Source organism: Homo sapiens, chromosome 11, assembly GCF_000001405.40.
Source record: "Homo sapiens chromosome 11, GRCh38.p14 Primary Assembly".
NCBI lineage: Eukaryota > Metazoa > Chordata > Mammalia > Primates > Hominidae > Homo > Homo sapiens.
In genome coordinates, this window is record NC_000011.10 from 30,782,672 (window position 1) to 30,806,586 (window position 23,915).

At 39.2% G+C, this 23,915-nt stretch overlaps 1 long non-coding RNA gene across 4 annotated transcripts in view; it reads left to right on the forward strand.

The window, feature by feature from the left end:
• The window catches only part of LOC101928338 (uncharacterized), a 74,787-nt gene extending 52,386 nt beyond the window's left edge, over positions 1-22,401 (forward strand). For 2 of the 4 annotated variants that reach the window (XR_001748480.2, XR_001748484.2), the window contains exons 3-5: positions 9,681-10,657; positions 10,755-10,826; positions 20,466-22,401. This is a non-coding gene — a long non-coding RNA (uncharacterized LOC101928338). Of the gene's footprint in view, positions 1-9,680; positions 10,658-10,754; positions 10,827-11,711; positions 11,777-20,465 lie in introns of those variants that run through there. The other 2 variants (XR_242862.5, XR_007062640.1) reach the window with 2 other exon arrangements.
• The last annotated feature ends 1,514 nt before the right edge of the window (positions 22,402-23,915 follow it).

Below are 23,915 nucleotides of genomic sequence, written 5' to 3' on the forward strand. Positions count from 1 at the left end.
GAACTTAAGGTTTTGCCACCTTCTTGAAAATAAGGAGGAGAAAATATATAAGAATACCACCAGTCAAATTACCTGTGATCCTTTTCTTTATATGTTTCTAATATGTCCTCCTGTAGTGTCTAAAACACTTGCCAAGGTGATTTCTGACTAGTGAAATAGATAGAAGGTAAAAAGTTGAAAGATACCATATAAAAGGCATGGATAGAGTCTAATGAGATTAAAAGAACTCAGGGCATCAGCTCACAGAGGAAAAAACTAAAGCTTGAGAATGGGTAAATATTAGACATTTTAAGCAGAGAACAGAGGGATGAACAAAGGCACAAAAGTGGGAAATCGGAAGTGTGTTAAAAGCCTTGCTACTCAAAGTTTGGTCCATGGACCAGCAGCACTGGCGTGACCTAGCAACTCATTAGAAATGCAGACTCTTAGGACTTGCTTCTGACTGACTGAATCAGAATCTTCATTGTGACAGAACCACAGTGATTTGTAGGCAATTACAGTTTGAGCAGCTCAGCTTTACAGCAGTGGTTCTCAACATGTGATTCCCAGATCAGCAGTATCACCTCCCCCTGGGAACATGATCCCAGGAGTTTGAGAGCAACCTGGGAAACATACAAGACCCCATCTCTACAAAACAAATTTTAAAAATAGGCATGGTGGCATGTACCTGTAGTCCCACCTACTCTGGAGGCTGAGGCAGGAGGATCTCTTGAGCCCAGGAGTTGAGGTTTCAGTGAGCGTGATAGTGCCGCTGCACTCCAGCATAGGTAGCAGAGTGAGACCCTGTCTTTTAGAAAAAAGAAAAAGAAATGCAAATTCTTGAGCCCTATCTCAGACCTACTGAATGAATATCTCTGGAGGGAAGGCCCAGCAATGCATTTTAACAAGTCTTACAAAGTGATTCTGACACATGTACAAAGTTGACAACCACTGCTCCAGAGCAGAGTTGAAAAAGGCTTCATGGAAAAGGGCCAGATACTAAATATTTTAAGCGGGCTTTGTGGGCAATAAGGTCTCTGTCATAACTTCTCAACTCTGCCAATGTAGCAAGAAAGTACCAATAGGCAGTCTGTAAAAGAATGAGCATGGCTCTACTCCATTGAAACTTTATTCACAAAACACTGGAGGACTTGATTTGGTCCATGGGTCATATTTGCCAACCCCTTTTCTAGAGTACAGATTTTCAAACTTGCATGTGCATTAGAATCACTTGGAGAGCTTCATAAATCTTGATATTCGGACCGTATCCCACACCAATTAACCAGCATCTCTACAGTTGGCTGAGGGATCGATATTTTTAAAAACTCTCCAAGTGTTTTAAACTCTCTCTGGAATGCACAGCAAGGGATGAGACCAGATGCTACAGAACGGAATAGAAGGCCTGAGAAAGAAAGATGGGTTGAGAGGGTCAAGGGAGATTCAGCAGGAAAGGTGGCTAGAAGCCTGAAGGTAGAGGCCTTTCAAATTGGGATGTTCCCCAAGCACGACAATCCCGTGGGGATTTGAATATCCATACAGGTCAGGGCACACATTTTCATTTTTTTCTTAACCACATGTTACTGCATTTAAACCACAATATTAAAAATGAGAAACGTCTGAACAAGGAGTAGGCCAAAAGGCTTTTAATTCCCCAACAGCAAAACCCTGTTAATACCTTGCCCTGTGTCAGCAAAATAATTGTGGTTCAAATGAATATAAAACACTTCCATTCAATCTTCTCCCTCCTCCCTAAGGCAAATGCTTTCTTATCATGGAGAAACAGTACTCCTCAAACTGTCAGACTGCATCAGGGGAGTTAAACAAGAATTATAAAGCCAGGCTAAATCAAGGCATCAGCTAGGAGGGCAAAATTCTCCTGCAGGTGCACTTTCTTTAGCCCCTTCCCTGACCAGAGCCTTCACTAACGCTGCTGTGGAAATGCTGAGAGAGAGTGAGCTGAGACTTTTGCAAGAAGATGAATTAAATTTCTTTGGTTGCAAGTAGCAGAAGCAGTCACTGGCTAAGTCAAGTGAAAAAAAAAAAAAAGTTAACTGAAAAGATCTGTGGTGGCCCAGACAATAAAAGGAGACGCTAAAGAACTGGTCTTGGGAAGGATGGAACCATAGCGGATCTGAGCCTTTGTAATAGGAGCTGTGCAAGGTCTCTTCATGGGGCTGCCTTCTCTATGGGAACTCTGCCTACTTTCTGCTCTAGAGTCCCACCATCTAAGGTGCCCTGTCCAAGAAGAGAACATCTGATTGGCCAAGCATGGGCCCCAAGACCTTAATAAACAGTCCCACCTTGATTGATGGTTCTCCAAAGTCTATGGAATTTTATTGCCACAAGAAGGAAGAATAGATGCTAGGAAGGTAAAAATAGCAGATGTCCATTACGGAGAATAATAATCAATATTTTTTAAACAATGTTAAACAATGCATCTAGAGACTCAAACAGGGTTTGTCACATATTGATCATGGGACTGGGCACACAATCTCTTACAATCCCCAAAGGAGAACGCTTATCTAGTCATAGGCATTGGGTCAAGAAAAACTTAAAAATACAACCCCCTTTTTTACAGGGGAGAAAATGAAGGATGAGTGAATAACTTTTCCAAGCCTTTTCCTATTCATGTTTAATGTTATTCATGAAAAGTGTACAATCAGATAAGAGTCCAAGCTGGACCCTTCATCCAGAGTATTCTGCCTGTGGTTGTGAAAGTCAGTGTTTTTTAATTTCCTTGAAGACTCTGTGCATGCATCATGTTTGCTCTTTTAAAGATGAGAAATAACAGTATTTCACATTTGTCCAGGGGTTCTTATTTAAAAAGCACCACTGGCCAGGCACAGTGGCTCACACCTGTAATCCCAGCACTTTGGGAGGCCAAGGCGGGCAGATCACCTGAGGTCAGGAGTTCGAGACCAGCTTGGCCAATAGTGAAACCCCATCTCTACTAAAACCCCATCTCTACTAAACCCCATCTCTACTAAACCCCATCTCTGCTAAAAAAATACAAAAATGAAACCCCATCTCTACTAAAAAAATACAAAAATTAGCTGGGCATGGTGATGCACAGCTGTAGCTAGACTACAGCAGGAGAATTGCTTAAACCTGGGAGACGGAGGTTGCAGTGAGCCAAGATCGCACCACTGCACCCCAGCCTGGGGGACAGAGACTCCATCTCTCAAAAAAAAAAAACAAAAACAAAAAGCACCACTTCCTAGGCCCCATATTTCAGAGATTCTGATTCAATAGGCCTGGGTTAAGACCCAGGAAGCTGCTTTTTCACACAAGTACCTATATACCATTGGTGTGTACAATGCATTTTGAACAACAGTGTGGTCCCACGCTCAAGTGTTTGCAGAGACCAGAGAGGTCATGTGAGTAAAGCCAGGAGAGGATAAGAAAACGAAAAGAAGTGAGGATGGTGACTTGGGAAGTACATGTACTGTCTAAGGGTACTTGGACTCCATCTGTTTTCAAGCACCCTGCAGGCTAAAGAAAACCTTACCATAGGACAAGTTTTATTCTCATAGATTCTATAGGTTGTGAGTGCTGTTAGCGCTTTCACATGAATTTTATCACTCAATGAACTTCTAAGATGGGAAAAAAATTATTATTATGAACACGTTTTCATGAATAAAAAGGGGGAGGTTTAGAGGAGCTCCCCTAAGGCTTCCTGCCATCTGCCAAATTTGAACACAAATCTAATTTCTAAACTGAGGTGCTTTGCAAAACCGCAAGTAATGCACCCCTGTTTATTTTTTTAACTCCTCTCTGTCATGTGGCCTGCATAAACAACATTCCTTTCAAATGTGATTATGTCTGTTCAATCATAAATAGGGCAGAAAAAAAGCCTAGCTGGTAATTTTTTTAAATATGTGAAAAGCACGCAAAACAAGCAGAATCTTCAGGATTTCAAATAGTGATACAAAGCCTGGCAGGTCATTATGTAAAATTACTACAAGCCTCTTGAAGATTGACCCAGTTTACATAGTTTTCTTCATTTTATCCAATAAAGTTAAAATATATTATTCTCATATTACAGTTGGATGATTTAGAAACACAAAATATGTTTGGCACAGATTCATAGTTCCTTAGTAAAACAAAAGACAAAGTCCCCGCAATAGTTAGAAAGTTAATTATTTATCTTGGCCAAAGACTCTGACTGTTGCCATGACACAGATTAAAACAGCACTTTTCAAATAAGGTGGTAGTTATTTCATGTCAGGCTTTGAAAGTGCTGGGCTGAGTCCCTCTTTCAGTAATTGGAAATTCTGGACCTATCTTACTCAACACTTCAAACCCTTGTAGTATTTCTATATGATGTTGGAGTTTGAGAACAGAATTAGGACTAGGTTAGAGGTTAACTGTGTAACATCAGTCTTTCACAAAACAAAGCTTAGTTCAGGGAACATGCCTTGACCTACCTTAACCTAAAATCTGTGTGATAATGAACCAAGTTATAACAAGGCTTTACAGTACATGGAAGACCTTTTTTGGACATTAGAACCACTCAAAGGAGGAGAGAGAAATACAGTCCCTTCTGGTTATAAGGGGATATACTTGTGGTTTTAATTGTTACCCAATTAAATGAGGTTAGATATTTACAAAAATACATTAAAATAAGGAAAATTTTATAACAAAGGAGACAGAAACTAAGTTATTGTCTACAATATGTAAAGAGTGCTTAAAAATCAATAAAAATTAAAAATCAACCAACTACAAAGATGGTAAAAGGATATTGACAATTCATAAAAGAAGAAATCAAACACCCAATAAATGCATAAAACACATAAAAAATTCTTTTACTAAGAACAAAACAAATGCACATTAAAACAGAAATAAGATAAAAATTGTCACCTATCAAATTAGTAAATATTTAAATATTAAGTATTATTAAATATTAAATTTTATTAAATATTTAAAAATATTTAAATATTTTTAAATGATACTTAAAAGTGGAAAGTATGCAGTGAAACAAGGATTCTGAAATAATGCATGTGAAAGTGAAATTTCATACAATAATTCTGGAAAGCAATTTGGCATATTATATCAAAATGGTAAATGTTTCCTTACCTGTATAAACATATTAAAAGTAAAATATTAGAAGTGCAGTCCAATATTGGTTTCTAATAAGGTATATTTATTATAGTTTTATTGTAATTTTTTTTGTAATAGAAAATTGGATGATCCTCAAATGTCCAATAAGAGGATTGGTTAAACAGTCCAGGGCTATTTGGAGATAGGGAAAAACCAAAATGTGTTTCCTACTCTCTTTCACACCAACCAAGCAATTCTGACACTAGATGTGTATCTGTTGGGGGTAGTCTCTCCACGCACCAACGAGTTCTCCAGCAGGCACCATCTGGGTGTTCTCTAATTCAAGTCAATTCTTACACTATCTACCTGGAGTTAGTAACAGATCCCACAAGTTGAGGGCTCAGTCCTACAAGACTGTACCCTGCTTTAGGTGCCCGTTGCAAGTAGTAGTAGTTGTCACCTCTGCTTCTGATGGACTGGCTATGAATTCAAGGTTCTAACAAACCCCTTCTTGGGTTTGATTAATTTGCTACAGGTCCTCACCGAACCCAGGGAAACAATTTACTTGTGTTGACCTATTTGTTATGAAGGATAGAACAGCCAGATGGAAGAGATGCACAGGACAAAGCATATGAGAAGGGACATGAAGCTTCCAACCATGTACAACCAGAATAACACCCTCCAGGCACCTACACATATTCTGCTATCTGAAAGCTCCCTGATCCTAGTCCTTTTGGGATTTATAGAGGTTTCATTACTAGGCACAATTGATTACATCATTGGCCATTGGTGATCATCTCAAGCTTCAGCCCCTTACTTCTTTTCAGAGGTTGGGGTTAAGGCTGAAAATCCCAACTCTCTAATCATCTCTTGGTCTTCTCAGTAACAAGCCCCCATCCTGAAGCTATCTAGGGGACCCCAGCCACCAGTCATCTTATTAGCATATAAAAGACACTTATCATTCCAGAGATTTTAATCATTTTAGGAGCTGCATGTCAGGAAACAAAAACAAAGACCAAATATATATTTTACAGTATCACAAGGACATATCCTTATGATGAAATATCATGCATTCATTTCAAACATCAGCTTGCCAAGAATATTTAACTTTTTGGAAAAATTTTAATGAGTGAAAAAGGAAGGATTCAAAATGGAATCTGTGGAATAATCTTAATTTTATTTAAAATATATGTTCTGTATTAGTCTACTTGGGCTGCCATAAGAGAATATCAGAGACTGGTGGATTAAACAATAGACATTTATTTTCTTACAGTTCTGGAGGTTAGAAGTCCAAGATCAAGGTGACAGCCACATTGGTTTTTGGTGAGGCCTCACTTCCTGGTTTGCAGATGACTGCCTTCTTGCTGTGTCCTCGCATGACCTTTTCTCTGTGTAGGGCACATACCCCATGTTTCTTCCTTTTCTTATAAGGACATTAGTCCTGTTGGGTTAGGGTCCCATCCTTATGACCTCATTTAACTTCAACTACCTCCTTGTTAAATCAAGTTTAGCCTAAAGTTGCCTCCTTATGTATTTTAAGTTCGGCCTAAAGGTTTTCCTGTACATTGTGAACTATAATAAGTGGAGGTGTAAACAAACCATAGCCTACACTTGTGCCAATCACTGAGTTTTGGCCGATCAAATGTAGCCAACTGTTGGGACCGTGTTGAAATAAGGCAAAAGCTGAGCTGTAACCTATCCAGCTGTTTCTGAACCTCATTTCCATTTTCTGAATGTCACTTTCCTTTGTCTGTCCATAAATCTTCTTCCACCATGTGGCTGTGCTGGAATCTGTGAGCCTGCTGTGGCTCAGAAGGCTGCCTGACTTGTGAATCATTCATTGCTCAATTAAACGCCTTTAAATTTAACTTGGCTGATGCTTTTTCTTTTATCATCCTTAAAGGCTCTACCTCCAAATATAGTCACATTGGAATTGGGACTTCAATTTGGGGGCACACAATTCAGTCTACAGCACGTTTCATATCCATAAAGGAAAGCCTAGAGGCCAGGTGTGGTGGCTCACATCTGTAATCCTAGCATCATGGGAGGTTGAGGCGGGCAGATTGCTTGAGCTCAAGAGTTTAAGACTAGCTTGGGCAATGTGGTGAAACCTCCTCTCTACGCAAAATACAAAATAATTAGCCAGGCATGGTGGCGTGCACCTGTAGTCCCAACTACTGGGGAGGCTGAGGTAGGAGGATGGCTTGATCCCGGGAGGCAGAGGTTACAATGAGCCAAGATTGTGTCAGTGCACTCCAACTTAGAAAGAAGGAAAAAGAAAGAAAACAAAAAAAAGAAAGAAGGAAAGAAGGAAGGAAGGAGAGAGAGAGAGAAGAAAGAAAGAAAAAGAAAGAGAAAGAGAGAGAGGGAGAAAGAAAGAAAGAAAGAAAGAAAGAAAGAAAGAAAGAAAGAAAGAAAGAAAGAAAGAAAGAAAAGAAAAGAAAAGAAAAGAAAGAGAGAGAAAGAAAAAGAAAGAAAGAAAAGAAAGAGAAGGATGAGAACGAAAGGAAGGAAGGAAGGAGAAAGAAAGAGAAAGAAGAAGAAAGAAAGAAAGGCAATAGAGTCTTAATATTGATTATCCCTGAGTAAAGGGAATATAAACCTTTTAACTTTATGGTTTTCCTTGTCCTCTTCTCTCTCCACCCCCTCCTCGTTTTTTGTTTTGTTTTATTTTTACAGTGATCATGCATTATAGCAGGGGGGGAAAGGTAAACAAATGGGAAAAATAAAACAGTACTCAGTTTCATAGATGTGGGGAAAAATCATGAAAATTAAAATCATAAAACTGGAATTCGAGTTACATTATTTTGGTTAAAAAAGGTATGTAATCTTATGCTTCAGTTTCCAGAAGTGCAACAAAGGGATGAAAAGAATATTCATCTCATGAAATCACTGTGAGAAACAAACTAGATGATATATATAAAAATTATTTTGCAACCTGAACACTAGTTTTAGTTTTTTTGTTTTGTTTTGTTTTGTTTTTTCTATTTTTAGTAGAGACAGGGTTTCACCCTGTTAGCCAGGATGGTCTCGATCTCCTGACCTTGTAATCCACCTGCCTCGGCCTCCCAAAGTGCTGGGATTACAGGCGTGAGCCACCGCGCCCAGCCTAGTTTTAGTTTTTATTACTTTTTTTTTTAAGACGGAGTCTCGCCCTGTTGCCCAGGCTGGAGTGCAGTGCAAGATGTCGGCTCACTGTAAGCTCCGCCTCCTGGGTTCACGCCATTCTCCTGCCTCAGCCTCCGGAGTAGCTGGGACTACAGGCGCCCGCCACCACGCCCGGCTAAGTTTTTTGTATTTTTTAAAAGAGACGGGGTTTCACCATGTTAGCCAGGATGGTCTCGATCTCCTGACCTCATGATCCACCCGCCTCGACCTCCCAAAGTGCTGGGATTACAGGTGTGAGCCACCGTGCCCGGCCTAGTTTTTATTTCAAAAGTTTAATTCTTTTTTTTTTTTTGAGACAGAGTCTCGCTCTGTCACCCAGGCTGGAGTGCAGTGGTGCGATCTCGGCTCATTGCGACCTCCAGCTCCCGGGTTCAAGCGATTCTCTTGCCTCAGCCTCCTGAGTAGCTGGGACTAACAGGTGGGTGCCATCAGGCCTGGCTAATTTTTTTCTATTTTTAGTAGAGACGGAGTTTCACCATGTTAGCCAGGGTGGTCTTGATGTCCTGACCTCATGATCTGCCCGCCTCGGCCTCCCAAAGTGCTGGGATTACAGGCGTGAGCCACCACACCCGGCCAAGTTTAATTCATGTTAAAGACATTTGGAGAGCATTTCCTCTGGGCATAAGGGCCTTCTACCTGTGATGGGGATCTATATTTATATCTATAGTTATATCAATATCTATACCATCTAGATCTGTTTCTATGTCTAAGCTTTGATTTCTGAGAGTTTGCAGCTCATTAGAGGTAGAGAATAACAATTAGGACCACTTCAGGGAAAAGAGATGGGGCTGGGAGGGTGGCAATACAAAATCATGGGGATGAGGAGAGGAGGAAAATGGAAAATGTGAAATAAAAAACCAGCCAACTAGTTATATGAAATATGAGCAGAACCTCAGGCGTGTATTGTATAAGGGTCACATGTTAATTTCATGTTTGCTTATTAGTCTCTTTGCTTTTCCAGAACAAGTCCTCCCATTCTGACAGGGCCATCAATTACAAAGACATGACTTGTTAACATCAGAGATGGGCACATGACCAACTGACCAACCAGAAAACCTCATCCCCTGGGAGATGGTAATTGGTTGAGAGGTGATCAAGTGACATTAGCAGGGCTAGAGACTTTTTGCAACACTTTTTAATAAGAGTTCACCTTAATATCTCCTTCTAAGATCATGAAAATTAAAAATATAGTGAGTGAATGATTTATCATGCAAACCAGGACATTTTTGAGAGTGAAAGGGGTTGCTATCCATACACATGCTGGCATGATAGATGTAAACTGGACTTATTCTGGACAAACTGTGATATGTGGTCACCCTAATTAAGGACCGTGCAAATCCAGAACTACTCAGAACTGTGATGTAGGAGAGTACATGCCTGCAAATGACACTGGGAGAAAGGAAAGCAAAGGGAGAGAGCCAGAGAAAGAGCACTGGTGACTTGTTTGTACACAATGTCTGATGCTGCCCACTTATGGAATTTTCTATTTACAGGAGGCAACACATTTCACTTTTGCTTAAGAAGGATCTTGCAGAAAGTGAAGAAGAGCAGGAATAGAGAAGACATTTGAATGACGACTGATGTTCTCTTCTTTGGCCTGAGGTTTTAGAACACATTCACTGCCTGATCACTGTGGCCCAGAAGCCATGGCCTCTGCTGAGAGATAGGGACCCCATGTTCCCTCTACACATCTTCTTCCCCAAAGCCTCTCTGAGGCTCCTATGTTCAAAGAAACAGTCCTCTGGCAATGGCCTGGTCCTTTCTGCCATACCAAAGAAAGTTGTTTTTTGTTTTGAGCAAGAGATCACTTCTGATTTTCCTACCTTTGACATGGACCAGACTAATTGACAAATTCTAGAAGGACAGACACTTCCAAACGTCTCTTGACATACTGGCTTCACAAAGGTTAGGAAAGCTGTTATGGGGAGGACGGAGCCTTTCTCCTCTTCCTGAGAACGTTTGAAGAAGAAAGGGGCTACTGAGAAGTCTGGTAGATTCAGCAGCTAGTAAATATCGTGTCTAAATGGGCATCTTTTATTAAACTCTGAGGCAGGGTTGGTGTGTTAGGCCATTCTTTCTTGCTATAAAGAAATATCTGAGACTGGGTAACTTATAAAGAACAGAGGTTTAATTGGCTCATGGTTCTGCAGGCTGCACAGAAAGCATAATGACATCTTCTTCTGGCTAGGCCTCTGGAAGCTTCCAATGATGGTGGAAGGCGAAGAGGGAACTTGCGCATCACATGGCAAAAGCAGGAGCAAGAGAGAGGCGAGGAGGTGCCGCACACTTTTAAAAGACCAGATCTCATGAAAACTCACTATTGTGAGGACAGCACCAAGAGGATCGTGCTAAATTATTCAAGAGAAATCCTCCCCCATGATCCAGTCACCTCCCACCAGGCCCCACCTCCAACATTGGGGATTACATTTCAACATGAGATTTGGATGGAAACACATTCAAGCTTTATCAGGTAGGTGGGTGAGGGGGTTGGCCATCTTTTCTGATCTAAAGAAAGTCAGCAAACCTCCCAAGAAAAGACTCACATGCCTGCCTGTTATATCTTGCAGCCCAGCTCCGGGAGTTCTTAAACTCATAAGAATCTATGAGCTCCCAGATTTATGGGCCTTGAAATAGACTTTGTAAGTACACAAAACCAAAGTTCTTTATTAGAGTTGACACATTTATTTTCCTCATCTATTCTCCCTTTTGTGATCTTTTACTTTCTTCTTTCTCTTTCTTTATATTGAATACTTATCTCTTTTTCACTTTCCTCCCCCTACAAACATCATCTATTCTTTCTCTTTAAGACTTTCTTTTTGGAAATAATTTCAGATACATGAAAGGATTGAAAGACTAGTACAAATAATTATATACCCACCACTGAGCTTCCCTAAATACTCTGCTAGCATTTTTCCATATTTGCTTTATGCGCTGTCTCTCTCTCTTGCTATCAAGCTCTCTTGCTCTCTCTCTCAAATGCTCTCTCCTTCTCCATAAATATAAATTTATTTTCCAAGCTACTTGGAAATAAGTTGTAGACAAATGCCCCTTAACCCCTAAATATTTAATCATAAAAATAAGGATATTTTCTTTCACAACAACAGTAAAGTTATTACAATCCAAAAATAGCATTGATACAACACTATTATCTAATTTGCAGAGCAAATGTATAGCAAATTTCATTTTTCTCAACCAGGGTCTAATCCCAGATTACACGTTACATTTAGATTTCCTGTCTCTTTAGACTCCCTTAATCTGGAATATTTCCTCCATTTTTCCTTGTCTTTAATGATCTTGACATTTCTGAAGAGCACCATCCAATTATTTTGTAGAATATTCCTCAGTTAGGGTTTATCCTCAGTTTGGGCTTCCTCATGACCAGACTCCAGTAACACATTTTAGGCAGGAACAACACGAAAGTGATGTTATGTCTTCAATTCATTATATCAGAAGTCATATAATGTCTATTTGTCCTATTACTGGTAAGTCAACTCTGACATCTTCCTTAATGTTGTGTCTACCAGATTCTCCACTACCATTTTTCGTTTGTAATTTACAAGTGTCTTATGGGAAGCGACATTGAGGGTATGTAAGTATCCTGTTTCTCATCTAATTTTTACCCACTATTGTAGCCAGTATATTCATTCTTACTTGAATCAATTATTACTACCATGTTGGCCAAATGATGATTTTTCTAATTCCATCATTCATTCTTAATTGATTAGCTGGTATTCTATTATTAAAAAGAGCATCTGCTTCTTCCCTATTTATATATTAATTAATTTATATCAGTATTGATTCATGGATTCCTATTCTATTCAATAGTGTTTAATAGGTTCTAATCTGTAATAATTATTTTGACATTCAAATGGTCTCAATTTCTCTCCCTTTTCATATTTTTCCTTTTCCTGCTCCCCTTGTCCCCTTGGTTTCCTATTCTCAGCCTCCCAGCCCCATCTCTTTTCCTTGTCCTGGTCCTAAGCCCATCCTTTTCCTCTATTCATTAGATGGCCCAAAATGTATGCAGGTCCCCTTCCAGCACAGCCTTTCCTCATTTCCTGGGGCTGCAGCTGCACTGGAGCAAATCTGCTAGTTTCTAAAGGTGATATAATCGTAAAGATACCAACTGCAGTTAAGTGTCTCAGTATTTCCAAGGGTTTGTAACTCAGCCATAAAAATTCACTTTAGGCTATAGCTTGACATATAATTTCTCAGCCCAGGAGTGAATTTCTTTAACCATTTTCTCTTTAATTCAACACTACTTGATTCAATGTATCTTTCATCCTCTAATAATATATGCTCATGAGTTGTTACTGCATCAATACAAATCATGTCTATTGCTAAAGTAATTACTAAGGGTAAATATGAAAAAAGTTACAACTTCACTAGTTCAGAGTTTGTGAAAAGAAAACAGTATTGATCTATGTTACTCTCTCTTCTATTCATCCTTCTACTGGCAAATCTTCAATCTATGAATCAAAAAATGTTTTCTTATGTTCAAAGGAAAGATATTATGGCATTTGTAAGATCCTGGCTTCTTTGCGGGGGTTTGTGTCTAATTTTTGTTTCACAATCTGAGTTCAAATTAAGGGACATCACTTGACCAAAGGATTTGATGGGGTATTCTACGTTTTAATAACCAGAATTTGTAGAACTGAAATATTTAGAAATATTAGTTTCAGGAGACTGGCAACTAGCTGTGCGGCTGTGGACAAATTGTAGGAAGGGAAACATATGATAGAGAAAGGGTTGAATTTGAAAGCAGGAGATTGGTATTCCAGGTCTGGCCCTGTCCAGCCACTGACAATAAGAGTCCAATCACTTCAGCTTTCCTCTGACTCATTTTCCTCATCTGTAAAAGTAAACAGTTTTGGACATAATGACCCATAAGGTCCCTTCTAACCATACTGCATCTCTATAATCCTTCAGCTCCATAAAAACAATTGCTCCTCTATTTAGTTTTAATATGACAAAGCAACTTTAACCTGCATTTGGGAATAGTGAAAAGAATAGGATTGGAGACATTAGAATCATAGATTTTCAGGAAAGAAAAAAAACAGGAAAAAGACTAGAAAAATTCGGTGGGAAAAGTTGTTTGCTGATTTGCCTAGTTGTTTGTTTAAACTCATTTAATTCATTTGATCAAAGTGGTCTCCTGTGTATATCCAGTCTCAAAGGGCAGCAGAGGTAGAACATCTTTGAAATTGACTGTACATACCTTTCTCTCTTTCTAGTCCTTTATTATCATATGTACAGGAGGAAGGATGCTTTCCTGGTTAGAAGGAAAGTGTTTAGGCATCTTATATACAGCATCATCCACTAAGCCTAGTTTAGTGCCTTAGACTTAATGAGCACTACAAAGATAGCTATTGAAGGGAATTACATTGAATCTATATAGAGCCCTTCTAGTTCTTTGGCAGTTTCTTTGTGTCTCTGTCAATTACTTTACTTCTCTTTGTTATTCTGTCTTTAAGCAAAAGGTAGTTTCAAGTATTATCAGTGGTCTTATCCTCTTCTGCATTCTCTCCTTAAATGATTTTGACCTGTTTTCTGGTTACACTTAGCTCCTGAGTGCTAATGACCCCCAGATCTTTATTTTGGGGCTTGACCTATCTTCTGATACACGGATTTGCATTTCTAAGTATCATTTTCAACAAGAGACCCATCAGTATCCTAAATTTCACATGATATAAATGGAAATATTTGTTCTCACCAAGAAATAGGTGAGATTAGGCAATAACTTGTATTATGGTTAATAATCATTCCTTTTTTCCTGGCATATTGTCTAGAAATGGTGGTGTCATCTTCAATTTCTCTCTTTACCTCATCCACTTTTTCTCATCTCTGCAGCTAATCAGACTGTGTATGCTAGTCAAGTTGGCCTCCTTTTCAAGTTTCCTGTATTTAAATTCTGGCCTTGACAAGAAATAAGGGAACCCAGGCCAGTCATTATACCTCTTAAATGTTACTTTCTTTCTTGGTTGGGTTGCAGTGAGGATTAAAGGGGATAATGCAAGTAAAGTGCTAAGCACAAGTCCTGGCACATAGCATGAACTCCATAAATGCTGCTGTTGTCTTTGCTTTTATTACATTTTCATTTTTCCCCTGTAATCCCTTGACATCCTGTGTTACCTTCTTTTAGCATGTATATCAATCTGCCTTGCAGTATCATTAGGTACTTATGTGTTGATTTTATCGAGGAGACTGTAAGCTCCTGGAAGCAACCAGTTCAGCTGGGCCCTCTGCAATCAGCCATCAGATGACCAGACAGAAAGATAACTCATGAAAGATCATGTATTAAGGGATGGGCCTGAAAATGGCGAGCTTCCCCTCAGCCATTTCAATGACCTACTTTACAATGACCAGAAGTAATCACAAGGCCCCATTGTGGAGAGGGAGGGTAAGGACTTGCTATCTTCCCATGTGCTCAAGAGGGAAACAAAACAGTAAACAAAACAGTGTGGAGAGCGCATAACAGTGTCTCTGCCCCAAAAAGTGTGTGGATGGGGGAGAGGGATACAAAAAATACAAGACAAAACAAAGACAGTACAATTTTATTTCCCCCAGATGTCTCAAGTTCCTTTACTGTAATGTTTTCCAAACATTGGTCATTCTAGCACCACGTAAGAAGTTTTGCTATGATGCTATGAGTCATTTTTTTTCTTTACATGGACTTCTTTTACTGAATATGGGTTTTGTTTGTTTGGTTGGTTGGTTTTTTGGGGGGGATTGGAGTCTCGCTCTGTCACCCAGGCTGGAGTGCAGTGGCGCGATCTCGGCTCACTGCAACCTCCACCTCCCAGGCTCAAGTGATTCTCCTGCCTTAGCCTCCTGAGTAGCTGGGATTACAGGCGCATGCACCACCACGCTCGGCTAATTTTTGTATTTTTAGTAGAGACGGGGTTTCACCATGTTGGTCAGCATGGTCTCGAACTCCTGACCTCGTGATCCGCCCGCCACAGCCTCCCAAAGTGCTGGGATTACAGGCGTGGGCCACCGCGCCCAGCCATTTATTTTTAAAAATATATTTTTTCATCACTGCGATAAGTAGAAAACCAGTATTTTTCCAATCTATGTCAAAATAAATCATGAGTACTCAAATAAATTTATCCATTGCTCACCTAAAACATTTTTCATAGCACTCACAGGCATTCCACATTTGGGGAAACACTGACTTACTGCATTACACAAACACACACACACATACACACAAACATCTACACACATTTTAAGTGAAGAATGTTTACTGTTGGGCAGATATGTTGAGGAAATGTAGAACAAAAAAGAAATTGCCAGGCTTTTTCATCGAAAAGTTTTTTCCTTTATCCCTTTTTTCTCTCTTTCCCTCTTTCTGCCTTTCCATCTTCCTTCCTTTTTTTTCTTTATTTCTCTCTCTCTCTTCATCTTCCCCTCTTTCTGTTACATTTTGAAGAGGATGAGAGAGGGCAAGATCTTGGAAAAATACGTCTTTTATTAGTTCCCCACAATACTTTTCTTGGAGAGGGCAAGATCTTGGAAAAATACGTCTTTTATTAGTTCCCCACAATACTTTTCTTGAGATGCGGTGAATTCTGGTCATGAAGGCAACATCCTAGCACAATGAAAAAGTCCTGTCTAATTAAATGAACTTTGAAGCTCTAGGATGACCCCACTACCCTCCTTTCCACCTCCCACTCCCATCTTCATTTCCTGAGCAAACACAACCCTCAGCATGCCAGGCTTCTTACCACCATTTGCAACTCCACTCTTTAGAAGAGAAAGCATGGCAAACTGTGCAGTCTTTCAAGGTGAATGTTAGCAGTAGCAGAATCAGTTGGGGCCTCTGGGTGCAGGTCAGGTTAGCCCTGTCAGACTTGGCCACAAGTCTGAAAAGCTGGAGTTGTTATATTTACCTGTCCTCAATTATGCTGAAATGAGGAAAGCCTTCTAGCAAGGTCTGGGGATTCAGGACAAGGATCAAAATGGCCCAACAGGAGTGCCTGAGAAAACAGTTCATTTTCTTACCAATAGAGTTTTACATCTAAGCAGTAAATTTTATCAGAGCCCTCTAACTCTAGTGAAATACAGCAAAGTGCAATAAATTTCACTTTATGGGTTTTATAGTTTAAAAACAGCCTCAGGCAGTCTGGTTACTGAGAGAACCTGGTTGGAGCAGTCTCCAAGGGTTGGTTTCTATATGCAGGGATCCATGGAGATGACCCCATACAGGTTAGCGACCAGCCATTCAGGTAAGGTGTTACCTCCCGCTTGAACATCACTAAAGGTATGATCTAAGTTCTGTGTCTACACCTGTGAAGCTGGCTTTAAACAGTGAAGAAAGAAAGCAATTAAAGTACTAAGCAAAGGGCTTCTAGCGTCCCTGGGACAAGAATAAATGAAGTTCATTAAAGACAGGGGTTTAGTCACTGACTTATTAGAAGATAGCTGACTGCTCTATAAGGTCCCTTGGCCATTTTTTGTTTTTTGATTTTGTTTGTTTGTTTTTTTTCCAAGTGGTTTTGGACTTGGAGTAAATCAAACAACATTTCTTAAGGGAAACTCTTCCAACTGCCCCTCAACCAAAAATATTTTTATAATTTTCCCTGAGGCAGGCTTTTGTCTTTTCAATTGGACTTTAATTGACTGTTTTCTTTACCTTAATAAGTTGTTAAGACTTGAGACGTTCTCTTAATTCTAACAAGGCCTGGTCACAATAGCAATTTGCATCACATAGGACCTCCCCCTACCCAGACGACAACCACCAAACTCTGATCCTATAGTTCCTTTATTTTCATTATTATTATTATTTTACTTTTTTATTTATATATCTACATATTTTGAGAGGGAGTCTCACTCTGTCACTCAGGCTGGAGTGCAGTGGCATGATCTCAGCTCACTGCAACCTCTGCCACCGAGGTTCAAGTGATTCTCCTGCCTCAGCCTTTCAAGTAGCTGGGATTACAGATGCCTGCCACCGAGCCTAACTAATTTTTTTTTGTTTTGTATTTTTAGTAGAGATGGGGTTTCACCATCTTGGCCAGGCTTGTCTTGAACTCCTGACCTCATGATCCACCCGCCTCGGCATCCCAAAGTGCTGGGATTACAGGCGTGAGCCACCACACCCAGGGTATTTTTATTATTTTTTAATCAACTAGGATTCATGTTGAGTCCTTGTAATGGATCCACTGTCTAAGGCCTTTTGCCTTTATGTAATGATAAAACCCACTGGCATTTATTATTTGGCAGGCATGATTGGAAGCACTTTATCTGTATTACCTTGTTTTATTCTAAAAAAAAAAAAAAAAAAAAAAAAAAAACAGCCCATGAGGTAGAGCTTTATTCCTGGCCCTTTTACAGATAAGGACACCAATTTTCCCAGAGTTGCAAAGCTAGCAAGTGGGAAAGCTAGATTCAACTGCCACTTAACATCCTTCATAGGTTCTTGGACACTGCTACTTTAAGCGAAATGATATACTGCAGGTCTTCAAATAATGTTGTTTTCCTTCAATGTCATTTTGTTGTAACACTGATGGAAAACAGATTGGTTCATTATAGGTCATTTGGCTTAAAGTTTCCTTTTTCAAGAACCTATGGACAATGTTAAGTGAGGACTTAACATACTCCCTTCTGGTTGGCACCTGGATGGTAGATGCAGTGTTCCCCATCAAAGCATTCATGTGCATGAGTTGATAAGCATGAGAGCTTTTATTTTGACCTGAGAAGGATTGAGTTGTTTTCAAAGAACATTAAGGAATACTTTAGTCTTTACAGTTGGGATGGAAGGGGTAGGGCAAGAACCCAACGGTTGGTTCTAGGTTCATGAAAAGATAGGGAGGCATTGCACTTTGGGAACTGAGTGGTATCATTCAACCAAGTCAAAAGAGGAGGGAAATACAGAATCAGGGTATCCCACTGCACTGGCAACTCCCTCCAACCACAGACCACAGGCCCTCCCTCCTAAGAATGCATCAGCAGAAGCAGTTATGAAGCAAATGGCCTAAGTGGCTGGCAGATATCCTCAACTATCTGTCCCCAGAGAGACCTCAGGCACCTCATTCCCCATTTTCCATCTTCTACCCCAACCCTGTTTTATATTCCTTGGTGGTCCTCATCATTGCTTAATACAAATATGCTTATCTTGTTTTCTTATCTCTCTTCTCACTAGAATGTCAACTCCACAAAAGCAGGGACCTTATTTGTCTTGTTCATTGATCCCTGGTGCCTGGCATCTGGTATGACCTTAATAAATATTTGTTGAGTAAATGAATAAAATGTAGACAGGAGATGTACCTGGAAGTCCCAAAAATAATTCAGAAGTGGTCAGTTGTGGTGGGGGAGGGTGGTTAAATGTGCTGAGATGGAAGTCACCAAGTAAGAACTAAGAGGCATAATCATTTTGGATTGGTGAAGTCTTGAAAAGTTTTGTTACAAACAACATTTCAATATAAGCATCACCATTTCCATTTTACAGATGAGAAAGCAAAGGCTCATAAAAATTAAATAAATTACTTGCCCCTGGTCCCACAGGCCATATGTGGAAGAACAGGAATTTGCAACTCCATCTAGCTGTTGCTATAGCTCATGCTATTTCTACTCCACCTCGTTAGTGAACGTCTACCACTGGAGCCTGTCTTCTATCTATGAGGTAGATGGAAGGGAAGAGACAACATGGGCATAAATCTCTCAAAGAACAGCTGCAACATATCTTTTATTTTGACAGCACTATGCAGGGCCAAAATCAAAACAAAACAAAAACAAACACGGCCAAAGTTCATGGCCTTTGTCTGCCAAAGCACAGCCAAAACAAAAGGGAGATCTCTTTGATGTAGGTGAACTAAAATGATCTCTTCATGGTCAACTTACGACCTAAAAATGTTTATTAAGCTGCAGTTACACAAAAGTGACATTGAGCTATCCTTTTTCATGGACCACATAACTCTCTAGGTACCACAGCATGGGAATGATAATGTCACAAAGAAAGAGACTGTGGTAGTAAATGTGTGAGGTCTTCTTATTTAAAGCTAGCTTATTTTCATTGTGGTTGACAATTACAGGATTTGTTGCTTTCACTGTCCTTGAAATATCTTTTCAAACAGCAGTGGTGGCGTCTTTGCCTGGTCCCTTGTTCCCTCACAACTCCCAGGAGAGTTCTGAACTTTATTTTGCCAAGTGCAAAGAGAGTCAATGAGTAGTCAATGGTTGCAGCTAATCAATATCTTATCCCCAGTTCAATTTCAACAATGGAGAATAAAGTGACATTTAAAAGGAGACCAAAGGGGAATTCTGTTAAGAACATCTCAGGAAATATATCAAGTTAGGATTAAAATGAAATCTTCTATCTTTTGCTAAGAGATTTCATTTCTATAAACAATTCTTAGGAAAATAATACTAAATGCAGAAGTTTTACGCAAAAAGCTCTTGATTGAAACAGTACTTATGATAATGGGAAATTGGAGAAAACCTAAGCAGCTACAGCAGGTAAAATGGTATGTAAGTTATAGTTACATTCATGCAGGAGACACGAGGCAATAATCAAAAGATTATGAAATAACATAACATAAGGAATTGCTTATGCTTTAATGCAAAGTGGGAAAAAGTAGAAAACAAAAATTAATATTTGGTATCAGAGTGACTATTAAAAAACTTTAATACATAGAAAAAAGATTGGAAGAAAATATACCAAAATGCCTAAAGGACTAGATTTATGTGACAGGACTAGAGATTATTTTTCTTTCCTCTGTTGGTTCATATAAATTTTTCAGGTATGTTTTATGTTTATATAAGGAAAACATCCTGATACACTTTATTTTTTAAGCTTTGTTTTTAAAATAAAGATTTCCAAAGCTCTTGTAAGAAAATAAATTCATATTAAATAATTTCTATTTGTTGATGAATGTGGCTTTCAGTCTGCATGAGATGAATCACCCAACCTCTTTTAAAGCACTGGGTCTGAACTGGGCAGACACCTCTGAATATCCCTGAGAGAAGCAAGTGCTGTTTCAGAGGTATCCTGGTCCCATGAGAAAATGGGGAGGAAGAGACCACAGTTCTTTTCACGTCTGAGTCTTGTTAACATCACTAAATGAGAGAACACACTGAGTGTGGTAGCCAGAATTCTGAGAGCATCCTCAAAATTCTTGGGGTATATACACTCCTTCTCTCATTACTCAGTCAACACTAATTTAAGTGTTGCCTTGAAAGGATTTTACAGATGTAATTGAGGCCTCAAGTTAGTCAACATTAAGATACAAAAAATTTCGAGGTGACTCAATGTAATTACATGAACCCTTTAAATTCAGGTCTAGAGGGCAGCGTCAGGGAAGCCAGAGATTCCAAGCACAAGAAAGATTTGATGCAGCCTTGGTGACTTGGAGATGGAAGGGGCCATGAGGCAAGGAATGTAGACAACTGTAAGTGTTGAAAGTGGACCTCAGCTGGCAGCCAGTAAGAAAAGAGGAACCTTCAGGCTACAACCTCAAGGGACAGAATTCAGCCAACATCCAGAGTAAGTTTAGAAATGGACTTTTCCTCGGCGCCTCCAAATAAGAGTCCATTCTGACCTCTGCATTGATTTTAGGCTTATAAGATTAAGCAGGTGATCCAGCCACACGGTTCTGGTCTTCTGAGCTCCCGGAGAAATGCATGTTGTTTGAAGCTGCTAAGTTTGTGGCAATATGTTACTCAGCAACAGAAAACTAATATACTTGGAATAGAATATTCACTGTGAATGAAGGAAGTTTTGAGCTCTATAAAAATGGAAAACTTTTATCTTACTCTCACTTCCAACTAATTTCCCAGATGCATTATCACTTCAGAACATTCTGCAGGGTATTGGCGATGATTTTTCTTCTTTATAGAGATCCAGTATTAAGTTAGAGAATAAATAGTGGTAATAATAATAATTAATAATAATATAGATAACATTTTGAGCGTGTTTATCATGTGCTAGCATTTTGCTAAACACTTTATCTGCATTCTCTCATATAATTCCCACAATGGTCATTTTAAGACAGAGATTATTACTATTTTCATTTTGTGTTTTCGGAATTAGAGAATTGCAGACATGTATAAATCTTCATATATAAACCTGTGATATTGTGGTATAATGGGAAATATATATTTTGTTTCTGCTCCTGGTTCCTGGCACAAAGCTACTAAAACCCTTGTAGTTTCCTGACTAATAGGGGTGCTAGGTATATCTTTGGTTCTGATATTGGGTCTTTGATTCCAGTTCCTGACATGGTGCTCATAATCCCTTAGAATTTTCTGGGTGATACATGTGTCTTTTTTTCTAAGGAAGTGACTCTTGATGGGCTACTGGATTGGAGCTTGTCACCAGAAAGACCAAGCCATGATTAGAAGCTTGGAACTTTCAGCCTCAGCCCCTATCCTCCAGGAAGCAGAGAGGGGCTGGAGATTGTTAATAATCAATCTTGCCTATGTGATGAAGCTTCCATAAAAATCCCTGAATTCTGGGGTTCAGAGAGATGCAAGGTTGCTGAACATGTGGAGATGCTAGGAGGGTGGTGCCCTGGAAAGAGCATGGAGGTTCAAGAGCCCCTTTCCCCATACCTTGCCCTGTGTATCTCACCCCCTCTGGCTGTTAATCTGTATCCTTAGTAATATTCTTTATGATAAAATGGCAAGTGTAAATAAAGTGTTTCCCTGAATCCTATGAGCCACTCCAGCTAATTAAGCAAACCTGAGGGGGTTCTAGAAAACACCAATTTATAGCCCATCAGTCAGAAGTTCTAGAGGCCCATACTTGTGATTAGCATCTGGAGCGAGGGGCAGTCTTGCGGTGCTGAGTCCTCACCTTGTGAGATCTGACTCCAACTCCAGGTAGGTATTGTCAGAATCGAGTTAAATTGTAGGACACCCCATTAGTGTCCACTGGAGAACTGCTTGCAGTGTAAGGGGAAAATCCCACAAATCTGGTGTCAACAGTCTTGTAATGTTTTGTTGAGAATATAATAGAAGATGCTTAGTTCATCTGTTTGTTTGTTTACTATCATACAGAACCAAAATCCAGGTCTGTCTGATCTTAAACCCATTTGCCTGGTGGAAAGTTATGGATGGTGCTCAGAGTTCACTGTTCTCTTTCTGTTTCATATGCTCAGGTGTGTTGCTAAACATGAGATGCTGGGAAACTGAAAGGAATACGTAAGAAAGATGGCAACAATTAAAAAATGCAGAATGAGGTTGATCTAAAATAAAAGTTGACAACCAATGAAATGGAGTCCTTAAAATTCATTTTTCATAGAAGAACAGATAACGGAATTACATACTTAAGATAAATAATTGCCTGGGCTTGGTTTACTGAGATTTTTTAACTGTGTTTTATATTTGTGATTTAAAAAACTATCAGGGAAGCTTATCTGCAATGTGTTAAGAGCCAACTACATAAATAGAAATCATAGACTCCATCAAGAGGGACAAAAATCATCTGATTCTTTTTATTAAATTATGGTAGCATAGATATTTAGAAAGCCAAGAAGTAAATTCTGTAGGACAAAGTAGGTCATATCTATACTAGAGCCATTAAGAATTATTGCCAACTATTGACAATTATTATCAACTATGAGTAACAGGGTTATGTATCTCAGACAGGCCAAATATGAGGAGCTCACTCCAAAGCAGCTCTGTCCAGTGGAAATGTAATGCAGGATGCATATGTATTTACAAATATTCTAGTAACCACATTACGAAAGCAAAATGAAAAAGGTGAAATTAATTTTAATACTATATTTAATTTAACTCAATACATCCAAAATACTATCATTTCAACATGTAATTAATATAAAAATGTTGAGATATTTTGTATTCTTTTTCATACTAAGTGTTCAAAATCTAGTGTGTATTTTATATTTATATAATATTTCAGTTCAAACTAGCCACTTTTTTTTCTTGTCTATAACTTTTTAAAAAAAATTTATCTTACTTTAAGTTCTGGGATACATGTGCTGAACGTGCAGGTTTGTTACGTAGGTATACATGTGCCATGGTGGTTTGCAGCACCTATCAACACTCATCAAGGTTTTAAGCCCCACATGCATTAAGTATTTGTCCTAGTGCTCTCCCTCCCTTTGCCCCCCATCCCCCAACAGGCCCCAGTGTCTGATGTTCCCCTCATTGTGTCCATGTGTTCTCATTGTTCAACTCCCACTTGTGAGTGAGAACATACAGTGTTTGGTTTTCTGTTCCTGTGTTAGTTTGCCGAGGATGATAGTTTCAAGCTTCATCCATGTCCCTGCAAAGGACATGAACTCATTCTTTTTTATGGCTGCATAGTATTCTGTGGTATATAAGTGCCACATTTTCTTTATCCAGTCTATCATTGATGGGCATTTGGGTTAGTTCTAAGTCTTTGCTATTGTAAATAGTGCTGCTGCAATAAACATATGTGTGCATGTGTCTTTATAGTAGAATGATTTATAATCTTTTGGGTATATACCCACTAATGGGATTGCTGGGTCAAATGGTATTTCTGGTTCTAGTTCCTTGAGGAATTGCCACACTGTCTTCCACAATGGTTGAACTAATTTATACTCCCACCAACAGTACAAAAGCATTCCTGTTTCTCCACATCCTCACCATCATCTGTTGTTTCCAGACTTTTTAATGATCAGCATTCTAACTGGTGTGAGATGTTATCTCATTATGGTTTTGATTTGCATTTCTCTAATGACCAGTGATGAGGAGCTTTTTTTAACACGTTTGTTGGCCGTATAAATGTCTTCCTTTGAGAA